The following is a 16,765-nucleotide window of genomic DNA, read 5'->3' as shown; positions in this document are numbered from 1 at the left end:
CATCAAAGCCCGCGTCTGAAAAGGGAAACATGCTCTTGGGTTCTCTTTTTTAAATCCATTCATTCAAAAAAAAATGTTTTGTTTAAGACACAAGGTATGATTATGTTGCCCAGGCTGGAGTGCAGTGGCCATTCACAGGTGCAATCACAGCACACTATAGCCTCAAACTCCTGGGCTCAAGTGATCCACCCGCTTCACACTCCCGAGCAGCTGGGATTCCAGGCGTACACCACTGCACCTAGTTTAATAATAAATATTTATTGAACATGGATTCTCAATCAGTATACTCAACGATCTTGGCCAGGGGCTGTTCTAGGTTCTGGGATTATAGTGAAGAACAAGAAAGTCAAGATCCTCGCCTTCATGGATTTCCATTCAGAGTGGCCCAATAATGAACAAAACCCAAGACATTCAACAAATCAACTTGAGTATAGACTAGTTAACAGAAAACCACTCAATTTATTGCCTCCAAGTTAATTCAGTGAGTAATAGGTGCTTATTATGTTTCACAGCACTCTACTAAGCACCCTAACAAAAATTTTAAGGTTATAACAGACAGGATCAATCCCTGCCCTCAGCAGGTCAACATCTCCCTGGCATGACAACACACAGAGGTAAGAACTAGGCAGAGAAATTGCCAAAGAAGGGTATTGGTATCCATCCAAAATGCCTTGCATAGCCAACAACTACTGTAGGAGAAAGATGACATTCATCTCAGCAAAGTAGTAATAAGAAGAGATTAAGTTAAGAAGTACTCCAGTATATTCAATGCTAGGCAGCAGCACCACCATCCCTCCCTCCCTCCAAATGAACAAACAAAAAGTCCACATCAATTTACCCCAAGAATGTTGATGATTTCCTTAGTTTGGCTGAGATAAAGCTCTCTTTAGATTTATAGTGAAAACTAACTAGCAATGGTTAATTGCAAGAGGACATATTTCTAACCTGAGAGGTCTCTCAGCTCAGTTTCTCCCTCCACCCCATCTCTCTCTCTCTCTTTTTTTTTTTTTTTTTTTTTTTTACTTTTAAAAATAAAGAGGTAGAAAGTGGGGAACCTTGCTTTTCTGGGCATTGGGTCAAGACCACACAGAGCGTGGGAGCAATGGCAGCTGGCTGGGGCTGGCTAAGGCCGCACTCCCTTTGCTCTGCCTTTGGCCATAACCACTAGACCGCACGTTTGCACTATTTTCCAAATAACCAAAAGGGAAGACTTTTAAAACCATACTAGAACATAACTTTGTTTTTAGGATGTGTTTACTTGTTCTGGTAAAGGTCATGGGGCAGGATTTTGGGGAACACAACTAAAAAGAATGCAGTAAAACTGGCATCATAAGCTCTCTCAATTTGACCACATTTGAGCCCAGTTCAGCAAATCCAAAGATACATTTTCAAAAATGCATATCCTGTTTCACACCTCACCACAAAGCAAACAACCTAATTTGCAGACTTTCTAATACTCATAATGCCTCTAGGTCCTCCTGTCAACATGTGTTTTTAAATATCATCTTTGATTTGATCACTAACAAATATTACCACTTTCTGGTTTTTGGAGAATAAGAAAAAGCTGCAGAAATTGACAGAAAAGCCAGCTCCATCATTCTTCAAATGAACAAAGTCTCACTCTTATAAGAACTTTCTTTTGCAAATTGCATTTCCCACAAAGAAAAAAAAAATTGAAGCTAATCCAACCATAATCTCCACTCCCACAAATCACTGCCCAATATCTGAAAGAGGGTCAATGTAACTGGTGCTGTTGCTGGAGGTGAGAGGTCACAGCTCGGAATGTCTAGTAAGATCATATTATGGCCTCAAATGTCTTTAAACCAACAACTACAATACAGATAACAAACTGTATAAGGAAGAATATATGATGTGAGTAGATAGGGTAGAAGATACAATGTTCAAAAGCAATAGATGTATTACAAGGAAATCTACAAAACTGAGATTGAATATATGTCAGAGAGGCTTTAGAAGATGCAGAGAGAGAAACTTAAGTGGTTTGATTATGGAAATGTATGAATTATTACCTAGATGAAGGGAGGATAGTGACAACAGTTCCCAGATACACTGCAAGATGGGAACAGAGATAGGATGCTCTCCTGATGTTCAACTATCTGGACATCAGCTAGTGGTGATGTTCCTTTAAAAAGCCAAGCCTCTAACTGTTCCAGGTTAAATGAGACTGAGGAGATGTGACAACTAATTGCAATATGTGATCTGGGATAAAAGACACTGGACCAGAAAAATATATATATTAGTGAGATAACTGGCAAAATTTAAGACTTGTAAAATAGATAATAATATTGTATCAGTGTTAATTTCCAGGTCTGATCATTGTACTGTGTTATGTAAGACACTAACATTTAGGTTATCTGGGTGGAAAGTATTCTGGAATTCTTTGTAATATTTTTGTAACATTTTTATGTCAGAAATTATTTCAAAATAAAAAGTTTAAAAAAAACTTTTAATGAGCTAATGCAAACACACACACACAACCAAGCCTCTGATAAATTCTTGACTTGCCAAAATATCATCTTCCAGATGGAGGAAACAAAATAGAGAACTCTTAATTTGGCCTTAATTCTGAATCAAATGAGCAACCAGCTGGCGATAGAAACCTTCAACGTTGCAGCCTCCCTCACACCAACCTCCTCAGAGAAGACTGGGCAGTAGTTAACCTAGGCCACAAAAATGGAGGAAGGAACTTCCAGAAAATATAAAATTGTGTGTAGCGTTAACAAAAAGAGAGCAGGCAGAACAGAGACTGCCCTTTAGAATAGAATAGGTATAGTGAGTGGCAGGCATCTTCCATCTCTTCTCTGAGATAGAAGCACAGGTAGAAAGGCTGAAAGAGCACACACGTCAGCCAGGCAGAGACCCATATCCCTCAGGGAGCTTTTCTAAGCTGAGAACTCTTGCATTGGTTAGACATGGTAGCTCCTGTGGCTCCTTGAGATGGGATGGGGTACTTTCTACTCGGGAGTTAGAAAGGACTTGGTAGCACTGGGGGAAATACAACAAGTTACTGGCTGTTGTCAGAGAGATGCAGAGGATCAGTGGGTTCCCTGTCGAATCACACAGCCTGGTGAATGAGGACAGCCCAGGTGAGAGGTAAGGAGTGCACATTTGGCTGCCACACCCTCTGTTGCTCACTGCTCCAAATCTGAGCAATGGGGTTGGGGAGGGGGCGGCGCTGCTAGAAAACAGGATACACCAGCCAGGATAAAGCAGGAGAATTCTAATCAGTTAAGGAAAGAACACAAGCGAAACTTAGGTTTGTACCTTGGGCTTTTAGAAGCAGAACTGAGTAAAACAATGGGTATAATCCCAAGGCCAGAAACTCAAGCAAGGAATACTACTACTTTGCATGGCATGAATCATGTGCCAGACACTGTTCTAAGTATCTTACATACATTTTTGTATAAAAAAGGATAAATAGAAACGGCCAATAAACATGAGAAAAGATTGTCAATCTCATTAGTAATCTGAGAAACACAAATGAAAACAAGATACAATTTTCCACTCTCAGGTTGATACACACACATATAAATACACCTACAGGCTCATCAAATGCAGAAGTGGCAAAGGTGTGGAGAAAATGGGCACCCTCATAAGTGACTGGAAGGAGCACAATTTGGTGCTTTTTTGTGGGGCTATCTATTGGCAATATCTACTGGAATATTAAATATGCATACCATTCAACCTAGTAATTCCACTTGATATGTATCCTAGAAAAATGTTCAAAACAGTAAACAGTGAAGTTCATACAAGGATTTCCAAGCCGTTGTTCATAATGATGTCATCAAAAGCTGAAAACAACCTAAATGTAAAAGACTAAAGGCCTAATAATCTATTACTAAAGCTATTATTATGTCAAAAATGCTACACAACAGAAGGGTTTATTTCTAGATGTGCAGGTATAGGAGTAAACACACAGGAGAAGCTCTGGAGGGAATCACACTACACTTTTAACTCTAGAGAGGGACTTCTCCCTCACATTAGAGCTGAGGATAGGAGGCTCTACAAACCCAGGCATGACTACATAATTGCAACTAATGCCAATGACAAAGAAAAAGTCATTCTTTAGATGGGTAAAGAATAAATGAGACTCACAGGAACCCCCACCAGTAGGATTTTTGTTTAATAACAAAATTAACGTGCATTATGAAAAATTCAAGCAAATTAAGAAGGTTCAAAAAGTCTCACAACTAATCCTATTCCCCAAAGGTTAAGCTAATATAAACAAAAATAATGGCAAAAGATTAAAGAAGTACATGTAATCAAAATTAAAATAAGAGGTGCTCAAGCCTATAAAGGTAGTGGTATGAAGATAAAATCAACAATGATCTGAGGCTTGCAAAAAATGCTAAGGACAATCAAAGGGGCTTTTGTGCTATATTTAGAACTGATAAATTAATAAAGAAGTTAGAATAATGAACAGTGGATTTCTAAATATCCTTAAAGGTAGGTGGGCATTATGGTCTAAATGTGTGTGCCTTCCCCCAAAAAATTTCATGTGTTGCAAACCTAATAATTAATGTGATGATAACAGAAAGTAGGGCCTTATGGGGTGATTACATCATGACAGCAGAGCCCTCATGAATGGGATGGGTGCCCTCATAAAAGAAGCTCCAGAGAGCTGCCCTGCCCTTCTACTGTGTGAGGACAGAGATAAAAGGTGCCATCTATGAATCAGAAAATAGGCCCTAACTAGACACCAAATTTGATGGTGCCTTGATCTTGGATTTCCCAGACTCCAAAAATGTAAGAAATAAATACATATTTCTATACTACCCAGTTTATAGTATTTTGTGATAGCAGCCTGAATGGATTAAGACAGCAGGGAATCTTCAGGAACCAGTCTCAGATAGGAAGTCATGCCAAGCCAACCATACTTTAATATTCCCTAGGTTTATCTAAAGATTTGGCAAATATTTAGTGAACACTTACTCTGTGCCAGATACTATGAGCCAAAGCCACCAAAGACAAACAAAAAAACAACACACGTGTTCCTATCACTTCAAGATCACAATCCAGGACAGGTGCAGTGGCTCACGCCTGTAATCCCAGAACTTTGGGAGGCCAAGGCAGGTGGATCACTTGAGGCCAGGAGTTTGAGACCAGCCTGGCCAACATGTTGAAACCTCGTCTCTCCTAAAAATACAAAAGATTAGCCAGGTGTGGTGGCACGTGCCTGTAATACCAGCTACTCAGAGGCTGAGGCAGGAAAATTGCTTGAACCTGGGAGGCAGAGGTTGTAGTGAGCTGAGATCCTACCACTGCACTCCAGCATGGGCAACAGAGTGAGACTCTGTCTCCAAAACAACAACAACAACAAAAACCCACCACAATCACAATCCAGCAGGCAGACAGACATTAATCAAATAGTCCCACTAATCAATGTATAATTCCTGGCTGAGTTAAGCACTTCATAGGAAAAGTCTCTAAATATATTTGCAAAGAAATGAAGAAGTGAGGTCTAGAGAGAGGATACAGGGAGTCCATGAACTTAGAGAGTGGGAACAAAAAACCTTTTTATTTTCATTAACTTCTAAATTTATTGTTTCCTTCAAATATGAATGCAGGCAACACACCACAGTAGTACTTGTGACTTTGTCACCAGCAGAAATCCATGTAGCATTACTGTATAGGCACACAGCCCAAAATATCACTTACAGAAGTTATCACACCTGCCCAGATATCTTATTTCATGTTTATTGTATCATAAATGTTTTAATACTTTGATAACTATATTTCTATATAATTTTTTCTTTTGTAACCATGTATTTTATTTTATACATGTAAAAGCATTATTCTGAGAAAGTATCTAAAGGCTTTACCTGATTGCCAAATGTATCCATGGCACAAAAAATGTAATCTCTGAGCTAAATTCTGGTACAAGTAAGTAAATATGTGTCAAGATAAACCATAAAATCAAGGAATTCAGGTCTCAGATAACGAAGGCAACTCAATTCCCTAAGAAACAATTTTGGTCATCCTCCACCCTTCCCTTTAGTTTTGACTCTAGTTGTTTAACAAATACTTGCTGAATGCTTACTCTGCCAGCCACTGTGCTGGGCAATGGGGAAAGTACAGCAAAAAAAAAAAGAAATTTCTGTTAATGTGACCGATCCTCATCTTAGTATCTTTACTACCCATCAAAGTGACTGCTGGACAATCTAAATATATTTGCTCAATGTTGAAAGAAGAATGTCTAAGACCTGAGTAAGTGCCACCAACATATATAAGTCATAAAGTTCAAGCAAAAATTCTCTGGCTATCAAAATTTCCATTTCTTAGAAAATTTCATCAACTCTCTAACATAAAACAATTTTAACTGACCTCTTTCTCTTTTCTCCAACCTTGTAACTCAGGTTGGTTAATTAAATATTTCCTAATTTTCATGAGAAATTGTTCTTCTGAATAATCTAACCAAAGAGAACAAGGACATAAGTGAATATTATTAAATGTAAGACTTCAGTGCATTGATGTGATATCATATGCACCTATTATGAAGTCCACCTAAATAAAAGCACTCACATGACACAAAAATGAAGCTTGCAACTGGCTTCTTGATTCAGTTAGAGGAAAAGACACGCAAACAAAATAATATGAAGCATATAATGTAATTTCCTAGCCATCAGGGGTGGGTGAGCATGGGAGACGGGGAAACAGAAACCACACTGGGGATTTCACTTTCAGACTCTTCACCCATTCATAGTATGTGATATTAAAAAGAAAGTTCACAATATCACTGATCACTGGAGAAATACAAATCAAAACTACAATGAGATACCATCTCATACCAGTCAGAATGGCTATTACTAAAAAGTGAAAAAATAACAGATGCTAGTGAGGTTGTGGAGAAAAGAGAACACAATTTACACTGCAGATGGGAGTGTAAATTAGTTCAACCATTGTGGAAAGCAGTAATGCGATTCCTCAAAGAACTTAAAACAGAACTACCATTCGACCTAGCAATCCCATTGGGTATATACCCAATGGAATATAGATTCTTTTTTTTTTTTTTTTTTTTTTTTTTGAGATGGAGTCGCTCTCAGTCGCCCAGGCTGGAGTGCAGTGGCATGATCTCGGCTCACTGCAAGCTCCGCCTCCTGGGTTCATGCCATTCTCCTGCCTCAGCCTCCCGAGTAGCTGGGACTACAGGCACCCGCCACCATGCCCAGCTAATTTTTGTATCTTTAGCAGAGACCAGGTTTCACCGTGTTAGCCAGGATGGTCTCGATCTCCTGACCTCGTTATCTGCCCACCTCGGCTTCCCAAAGTGCTGGGATTACAGGCATGAGCCACCGCACCTGGCCAAATTCTTTAACCATAAAGACATATACATGCATATGTTCACTGCAGCACTATTCACAATAGCAAAGGCATGGAATCAACCTAAATGCCCATCAATAGCAGGCTGGATAAAGAAAATATGGTAAATATACACCACGGAATACTATGCAGCCATAAAAAAAGAATAAGATCATGCCCCTTGGGGGAATGCAGATGGAGTTAGAGGTCATTATCCTTAGCAAACTAACACAGGAACAGAAAACCAGATATCCCATATTCTCACTTATAAGTGGGAGCTAAATGAGAACACATGGACATACTGGAGCCTACTTGACAGTGGAGGGCGGGAGGAGGGAGAGGATCAGGAAAAGTAATTATTGGGTACTAGGCTTAGTACCTGGGTGACAAAATAATCTGTACAACAAAACCCCATGACACAAGTTTACCTACATAACAAACCTGCACATGTACCCCTGAACCTAAAAGTTAAAAAAAATTAAATAAATAAAAAGAAAGCTCAGAAAGGACTGAGGCCTGCATCGTCACACTAGAGCCTAGCAAGCTCACCCCATACCTTCCTAACTATCCATACTCTTTCAATCACTTATTTTAACAAAGAAAGGAAAACGCAAGTGTCAGCCGCAGACTGGTGAGCTGAGGTTAGCATACAGCAGGATTATGAACTGCTAGGCCTGGGATGCATCATAGCAAAGGAGGCTAAAGATTACTTCCTGCTCCTCCAGTCATATCCTGAAAGTTCACACTGACTGCTAAACGAAATCACATTTTCCATACTATTGAAAGCAGTCCCTGCCCTGCACTCTGGTGAACTGGAACAAGGTGACTTGAGCTAAGTGAATCAAGTAATTTAAAAACAGAGCTAGAAATAGAACCCAGGTATCCCAATATCCATCTTCCTCTCCAAAAAGACAATAGTAAGAACTAGCTTTAAATGATCACTTTGCCATGTACAGGCATTTACATATAGGTTGATCCTTACAAAGCACTCTTATGAGGTAGGGGCTATTATTATCACAATTTGCAGGTGAGGAAACCTGCTCAGAGAGACTGTCATTTTCCAATTTGAGACTGCCAATAAGCAGTGGTGTAGGATTTAAACTTGGGCTGTGTGAGTGCACATTCTTAACCACCATAACATTCTGCTTCTAATCCTGAGAGCTCATCTTAACAGTAATCAATCTTACTTTTCCCTTTAAAAACTTTTCACAGCTCACTCTTTCAGATATTAGATGCAGAACATATGCAATGCAATTGCCCATTTATTCCAGGAGTTCTAGAAGGACTAGGGGGTTAGAGCTCGGGCACGGTAGAGAAAGGTGAGAGAAGACACATTTTGTTCAGCCCCAAAGTCCACAAAGACGAAAACAGAAGATATCTTTAAAATGGAGGTGAGCAGAAGGAAGTAACATTGTCTTTTACTAGAGGAGTGGTTTTTCCTTAGCCTCTTCCTTCTTTTCCCTTCATCCACTGCAGTAGCCACAGCAGAGTAACTCTACTTAAAAAGTAAAGGTTGATACCATTCAACTGTGACTTCCTAACAATTCAGCAGCAATTTTTTGTGTGTTGCGCAAAAATAGCACAGAACTGGAAGCTAAGAGACCTGAATCATCTATCCGAGATCAACCAATTACCAGCCTTTTTTAGGCAGTGTTCCCTCTTCCATAAATAAGGGTATGATATTGACTTACGTGTGGGCTTGCTTCTTCCTGCTCCACAGCTATGAATGGAGCCATAAGAAATTGCCAATATCTGGCTATTTTTGACCTACAAGAGTGGTGATTTCCTAATACACAGACTTACACACAATTGTTGATGCTAAAGTATCTGTTTCTTACCTTCTTAATCTAATTCCACCTAATTCTAGCATCTGCCAACCTTCAAAACTTGTGGCTGTCGAAAGAGATTCAAGTACCAGCTCAAAGTGGAGAAATATTTTATTTAACTAAAGAATCCTTGAAATGTGAAGGAGGACTAATACATCTAAAATAAGGAGGCGATATAAGCAGTTGCAGAAAGACACCACTAATCACAGCTAAGGGGATATATGGAAATGCAGTTTTAAGAGGCTACGCAAGCCCTGAAGCTGTGGATCACTCAGTCCCCCTGGCTTCCTGAGCCATCTTTTCCATAGCAGATGGATATTAAATACTTCAAGTTGGGTGTGTATATGTTGGCAATGATGATGGGCTGGTAGAAATTCTATTCTACTTTCTTTTAGCAAACATGCTTACCAGCAATATGCAATGAGAAAAGGAGAGACAACTTTAGTTATTGGAAACTCGCCAAAGAAACTCTGCTGTCTCTAAAATTTTCCTGAGCTGTGGTATTTATGCAGTCTGAACTAAGGTTTCCGTGTCCAATTTAATATGAAAAGTCATCTGTTCCCAAGCCTTAGACAATGGCCACACAAAAGTAAAACAAAAGCTTATGGAGTTGCAACAGTGACCCTATTGTTTGTCAACCCAGATTTAACAGAAAGTGAAAAAATCCAGCAGAATCATTTCAAAGCTTTATCTGACTATCTGAATAGCTAACTTTGTTGTTTTTTAAAGTTATAATTTCATACTATTATAAAAATAGTAGTGTCCTGTGACTCTTTTGCCCTACTTCCCCCCCCATAATCCAATGATACTATCTTTTAAAACTATAACATAGCATCAAAACCAGAAAATTGTCACTAGGACAATATTGTTAACTAGACTATACTCGTTGTTCAAACTCCATCAGTTTTGACATGAGTTCATCTGTGTGTATGTAGGATTGTACAGAAGTATACACATATACTTTGCTGCAGTTTCTCATAACTACTTTAATATGGTTTCATATAACTAACCACCAAGATCAAAACACAGAACTATTCCATCACCACGAAGGACTTGCTTGTGCTACCCCCTTTATAGTTGCTTCCTACTTCCAATGTCCGTATACCCTGGATATCACTATTCCATTCTCCATTTCTAAAACTGTCACTTCAAAAATGTTACAAAATTAAAGTATATTTTTTTTTGAGACTGGCCTTTTTCATTTAGCATAATGCTCCTAAGATGCACCCGGTTGTTGTGTACCAATAGTTCATTTCTTTCCATTGCCAAACAGTATTCTATTGCATGGATGTACCAGTTTGTTTAACCATTCACCCATTAAAGGACATCTGTAGTACTTCCAGTTTCAAGCTATTATGAATAAAGCTGCTATGAGGGAGGTTTATGCATACAGGTTTTTGTGCGAACAGTTTTCATTTCTCTGGATTAAATGCCCCAGAGCAATTGCTGTGTCATAGAGTAACAGCAATATTTAGTTTTAGAAACTGCCAAGTGACTTGCCAGCATGGCTGTTTCATTTTACATTCCCGCTAGCAGTGTACAGAAGATCCAGTTTCTCTGCATCCTTGCCGGCATTCAGTATTTTCACTACTTTTAATTTTAGTCATTCTAGAAGGTGATAGTTCATAGTGGTTTTAGATTGCATTTCCCTAATGGCTAATGATATTGAACATCTTTTCCTGTGCTTATTCGCCATATTCTCTTTGGTAAAATGTCTCCTTGTGTCTTTTGCCCTTTTTCTAATTGGACTGTTTCTCTTTAGCTGTTAAGTTTTGAGAGTTCTTATTTATTTATTTATTTATTTAATCCTAGATCTAAAAAAGAACTAGATGTAAATAAGTCCCTTATCGGATATATGTTTTTGCAAATATTTTCTACCATTCTGTAGACTGCCTTTTCATCCTCTTACCAGGGTCTTTCACACACAAAGCAAAAGCGTTTAATTTTGATGAAGAAAATTTTATCCATTTTTTATTTTATGGGTTGTGTATGCTTTCCGCATTGCATCTAAAAACTCTTCATCTAGTCCTAGATTCCACACATTCTTCTAAAAGTTTTCAAGTGTTACATTTTACATTTAGATCTGTCATCCATTCTGAATTAAATTTTGTATAAGATATGAGGTTTAAGTCAAGGCTTTTTTTTTTTTTCCTATGGATGTTTAGTTCTAAAAAGCACCATTTCTCAAAAAAACTATCCTTCCTCCATTGAACTGCTTTTGCACCTCTGTCAAAAATCAATTGGGCATATTTGTGTGAGTCTATTTCTGGGTTCTTTATTCTGTTCCATTGATCTACGTGTCTATCCCTCTGTCAATACCACAGTCTTGATTACTGTCACTAAAAAGAAAGTCTTAAAATAGGGTAGACAGACTACTTCCAATTCATTCTTCTTTTTTAAAATTGTTTTATCTATTTTGGTTTCTGTGCCTTTATATATAAATTTTAGAACAAGCTTGTCTGTATCTATAAGAAATCTTGCTGTGATTCTAATAGGAATTGCATTAAACCTATAATCACTTTGGGGAGAATTGACATCTTTACTATGTTGATTTTTCCAACCCATTAATGTCTCTCCATTTACTCAGATCCTCTTTAGTTTCTTTCAGCAGCAGTTTGTAATTTCCAACACACAGGCCCTCTACATGCTTAATTAGATTTATACCTAGTCACTTCATTTTTGGGGAGACTGACTATCAATGGTGTTACACTTTTGACTTTGATCACCATATGATTATGGCTAATCTACAGAAATATGATTGATTTTGTGCATATGTCTATCTTGTATCCTGTGACCTTGCTGAACTCACCTACTAATTATAGAAGGGGTGTGTGTGTGTGTGTGTGTGTGTGTGTGTGTGTGTGTTCCTTGGGATTTTCTACATAGACAATTGTGTTATCTGAAAGTGGGGGCAGTTGTATACCTTTCTTTCCACTCTGTATGCCTGTTATATTAATTTCTTGCCCTACTGCACTGACTAGGACTTCCAGTCCTCTGCTGAGTAAGAGTGGTGACAGCAAACACCCTCAACTTGTTCCTAGTCTTAGAGGGAAAGCATTCAGTCTTTTACCCTAATTATGATGTTAGCGGTAAACTTGGCATTTCCCCCCTTGGCCAAGTTTCAAAGAGGAAGTTTTCTGAACATAAAATTTAAAGGAACATACATCTGAGAGTAAGTAGAAACTGTGCTGCTTTTCTTGACTAGTGTCTACCTCCTTCCCTCATACAACAATGCTTTTTCTCTCAGAGGAAGATGACCTTCTGCCATCATTTATACAGCTCCAGTGCAATGGGCACATGAGTAAGTTCTGGTCAATTCATCCATCCTAGCCTCTGGACCAAGTAGTTAGTCCAATAAAATCCAATTAAAGAACTTTCTTGGAATGATTACATAAAAGCTCTCTTTCCACTAGACTTACAGATCAGGGATCAACAAACTATGTATGGCCCATGACCCAAATCAAGCCAGCCATCTGTTTTTGTAAATAATAAAGTTTTACTGAAGCAAGGCTATACCTATTCATTTACATATTGTCCATGGCAGCTTTTTAGCCACAGCAGCAAAGTTAGTAGCTGCAATCGCGACCACATGGCCCACAAAGCCTGAAATACTATCTGGCCCATTACAGAAAAAGGTTACTGACCCATGTTTTTAATAATAAGATGTAAGCTTGGAATGAATAGTAAGGAAGCATCTCACCACTCTGAAAAGAACGTGTTGGAAAATGAAGCCAATACAAAAGAGGAAACCAACTCCAAATATTATGTAAGTTCCCAGATTCGGATGAGCCACAGACTATTAGACTCCAGTATTTTTCAGTTATGTAACCCAATAAATCCAGCTTTTCTTCAAGTTTGAATTGAGTTTCCCACATTTGAATTAAAATAATTCAAATTTACTACGTAGATAAAATCCATAATGCTTATTGTAGGAAGACAATTCTAATTTCTTCCTCCATTATATGTCCATCGACACCATAAAGACATTCAACATTTCTTTAGACTAGGATATGACTGTGTATTAAAAAAGTATGATTTAATGCTAAAACTAAATTTAACATTTAAAAATGAAATGTTGCAAAATCAACTGATTTGGGACTCATTTAGTTTTTCTTTGTTTTTCAACCAACCATCCTAAGGTATTATTGGACAATGAAAGAACAAAAAGAACAGAAACTAAAATTAACCCCCTCCAAAAAAAAAAAAAATCCACCAACACCAAATAATCCATCAAAGAACAACTGAGATAGAAGTATAAAACAGGAAATAGTTGCCACTATAACAGCTCCCTGAAATAAGGCAACGACACTAACACCGACTAGAGAAAGAGCTAACTAGAGAAATCCAAAGCTCCCACGGGGACAGATTTAACTCATTAGGGAGATGGTGATTAAAGCTGGAGCTGCTAATTGTCTACTGGACATATATCTCTAGTAATGTCCCCTAGAGGCTTTCAGCAATGGGAGACAAAATTAAGCCTAGTATTACTGTCAATTACACAGACATCATTTGTCTATATTTATCTCTCTCTTTAGGAAACTAAAAAGCACACAGAAGTGTGGTTTTCAGTGCAAGCTATATGTTCCTGTGAGGAAATAATTTTATATCATGTTTAGAAACAAAATTATTTTGTGTTTAAACTTGTTTTCATTTGTACATTCTGGAGCAAGAAGATGTTTCTTTCAACAGCACACTTTCCATCTGCAGAGGCCAGATGTTAATCTACAGGAAAACTGAAGTGGTTAGTAAGAAGACCAATTATACGCAGACAGAGAACAAATATCTAAGTGGTGGGGAGAGAGGATGGGGAGACTTAAAATGGAATTAATTGGTGAGGCAGTTTTAGAACTCCAGCTTATTGGAGGCAGGGGGAGAGACAGTAGTGGGTTTGGGTTTTTTTGTTGTTGTAATTTGGCTTTTTTTTGCCCATACCAAGAATAGAATCCCATACAGGATTGTTCTTCCTGGGCACTTCCTCCCCTATGAGTTGAAGAATCATTCAAGGGAGTGAGTGAAAGTACTGTAAAAATGAACTGAGAATTTTTCGAAGGCAATTTTAAATTTTATCTCCATTAAAGATGAAAACCAAATATGTCTAGGATTAGACATGGGTCAAATTCTAGCTTTGCCACTAGGATGGAGACTGCCAACTATTCACAGTATCCTTTCTCCTCTTCTTCTTTGAAGTAATAACATGTCCAGGGTCCTGGCAGGGCCCATGACTGCCTATGTACAGCCTAGGTTTCCCAGCCTGCTTTGCAGGTAGATATGGCTGTACCATTATGTTTGAGCCAATGGAAGTGACATGTGCATCTTCTGGGTCCTTCGAAATGCTTTCATCCTCATTTTCTGGCTGGAAAATGGCAATGACTGGAGCAATGTGGGAAGCCATGGGCTGAGGATAGCAGAATGACCCTACTAGGCATGGACTCCTCCCTTCTCGGCTCTAAGAGAGAAATACACTTATCTATCTTACATAAGCCACCGTACTTCAGAGTCTCTCTGTTAATAGCAACCTAGCCTGTACCCTACTAATATAGCCATTTACTATCTGTGCTACTTGGGGCAAGTTACTTAACCTCCCTAAGCTTCAGTTTACTTATCTATAAAATGGAATCACAGCACTTATTTCATTAAGTGCTAAGAGAAATAAACAGGTTAAGAGATGTAATGTGCTCAGTCCTGTGCCTAACATGTAAAAATGTGCTCAACAAATGGTAGATAATGCTAGCAAAAAGAAAGACCTACTTAGGAAGCTTCTTTCAAAGGCCTTTGACATCAAATAGCTATTGTGCCCATAAAGCCTCAAAGGTAGAAATGTGTATCTGGTTTTGAGGGTTCCTATGGGTAACAACGTATACAGAGATAATCAGAGCTATCTTATATTTTAGCCCAGGAGAAGAATTAAGATTAAACAATGCTTAATTATAGTTTAGCAAACTGTGCCTAAATCATCAGTTATTTAAATCTTTAAGAGATCTTGCTCTATATTATTAAATGTCATACAATACTAGCTATTTCTTTATGCCTAGTTGACTACGTCCCATGTTTGTATAAAATATGGCTGAGTAGAAAGGTACATAATCTATGTTGCCAGACCACCTCATCAGGGTAAGCTGAGAAAGACACACACAAATCAGCTGGCATTATCCAGCCTGACGCAAAGAGTTCTATAGTCAATGGAGCCCATGGCCTACTTCTTCCTTGCACACATTTCCTCCCTTTGGACAGTACCTGTGTAAGTATCAATTATTGGCCCTCTGGCATTGTAGATTCTTTTTCTCTTTTGTTGGTGGCACATAGTTAGACTGTACTCTTACAATTTCTGCAACCTTGAGATTTGCTGAACACTGGAGTTGAGATCCTTGGAACTAAGATAAGACGACTACAGTGATTCCAGGGCTCTTATGGATTTTACACGTCACAAGATGCAGAACAACTACAAGATTACATCACCCAGCTGAGGCCAGCATCGCTGAAATGGCAGCAGGGATCATATTACCAGGCTCACCTCCCTCCATCCATCCTGATAATGTCCCGCTGCTTATAAGGGGAGGTAAGTTACTACGGGAGGCTGAACCAGAAGTCAATGATAAAAGATGGGAGTTCTGGTGTAATTCTATGCAGAAGCCATGCCTTAGGACAGAGAGGCCAAAGCTCAAGAACTACATCTATACAGAAGCAATATCAATATCCACAAACATAAACCTAGGAATAAAAAACCACCTCTGGTACACTGGTTTCAAGAACCCAAGGCTTTAGAACAGCAGCAAAAATCACTGCACTAGGGAAGCAACAAACAACTCAGGGCCTTCATTCTTGCTCTACTTCCCTGAATTGTTACTTACAGGTTCCCGGCCATCCATGGCTTCCATCCAGAGCCTCCGGTCCTCTTCCGACAAAGCTTGCATGGTGATAACCCCTGGCCTGCAGAGAAAGGAGGGACATGGATATGAAACCAGTGCCACATGTAGAGAGATTGGTGAAGGCAAATCTTAAACATCCACTCAAAAGAGTCAGTGGCTGCTAAGGTTAACAACACAAAGAGGGGCAAAACACTCGGCTTTACTAAGCCACCTTCTACTCTCAGAAAGGATGGCCCAAATTCCTCTCAGTCAGCCCATCTCCCTCAGAGAGGCAGAAACACAGAAGACATGATCCTATTTTACAGGTAAGGGACGTAGAGGAGTTAAGTGATGCCTTTAGACGTTGTTCAATTCCTTGAAATCTTATTCATTTCTAGACCTCAAAACGCTTAACAGAGTATTTTACTCACGGTAGAAATGCAATAAATGTTTGTGGAAGTGAATGGAATTACTGGACTCAAGATAAAAAAAAGAGGAGAAAATATCCAACCTGGAGGCATGCTTGTCTCCTAATATCTAGTCCACTGCTTCTAAACTGCTTCAGACATGGAGAAGTTTTATGGTGGTCATCATCTTGGTAGTTATGATTAAATGTGCACAGTATTTTTTAAAAATGAATACTTAATCATGTCAGGTGCTAAGTGCTTTACATGCATGAGATCATTTCACTCACTGAAATCTGCTTGCTCTCTAAAACTGAGCACAAGCCCTCCAGAAGACATGCATACAATATCAAATGGGTTTTGTTCAGTTCCC

The 16,765-nt window shown here is 38.7% G+C and overlaps 1 protein-coding gene across 39 annotated transcripts in view; it reads right to left on the bottom strand.

The window, feature by feature from the left end:
- The window catches only part of ARHGAP26 (Rho GTPase activating protein 26), a 458,635-nt gene that overhangs the window by 280,895 nt on the left and 160,975 nt on the right, over positions 1-16,765 (bottom strand). For all 39 annotated transcript variants that reach the window (NR_146198.2, XR_007058592.1, XR_007058593.1 and 36 more), the window contains one exon: positions 15,992-16,070. Coding sequence is in view for 36 of the 39 variants with exons in the window: in NM_015071.6 (NP_055886.1) it covers positions 15,992-16,070 (79 nt within the window). In the remaining 3 variants the exon portion in view is untranslated. The remainder of the gene's footprint in view (positions 1-15,991; positions 16,071-16,765) is intronic.

Source organism: Homo sapiens, chromosome 5, assembly GCF_000001405.40.
Source record: "Homo sapiens chromosome 5, GRCh38.p14 Primary Assembly".
In the NCBI taxonomy this organism is placed as follows: domain Eukaryota; kingdom Metazoa; phylum Chordata; class Mammalia; order Primates; family Hominidae; genus Homo; species Homo sapiens.
The sequence above is the reverse complement of the archived record's forward strand: the minus strand, read 5'-3'. Positions and strand labels throughout refer to the sequence as shown.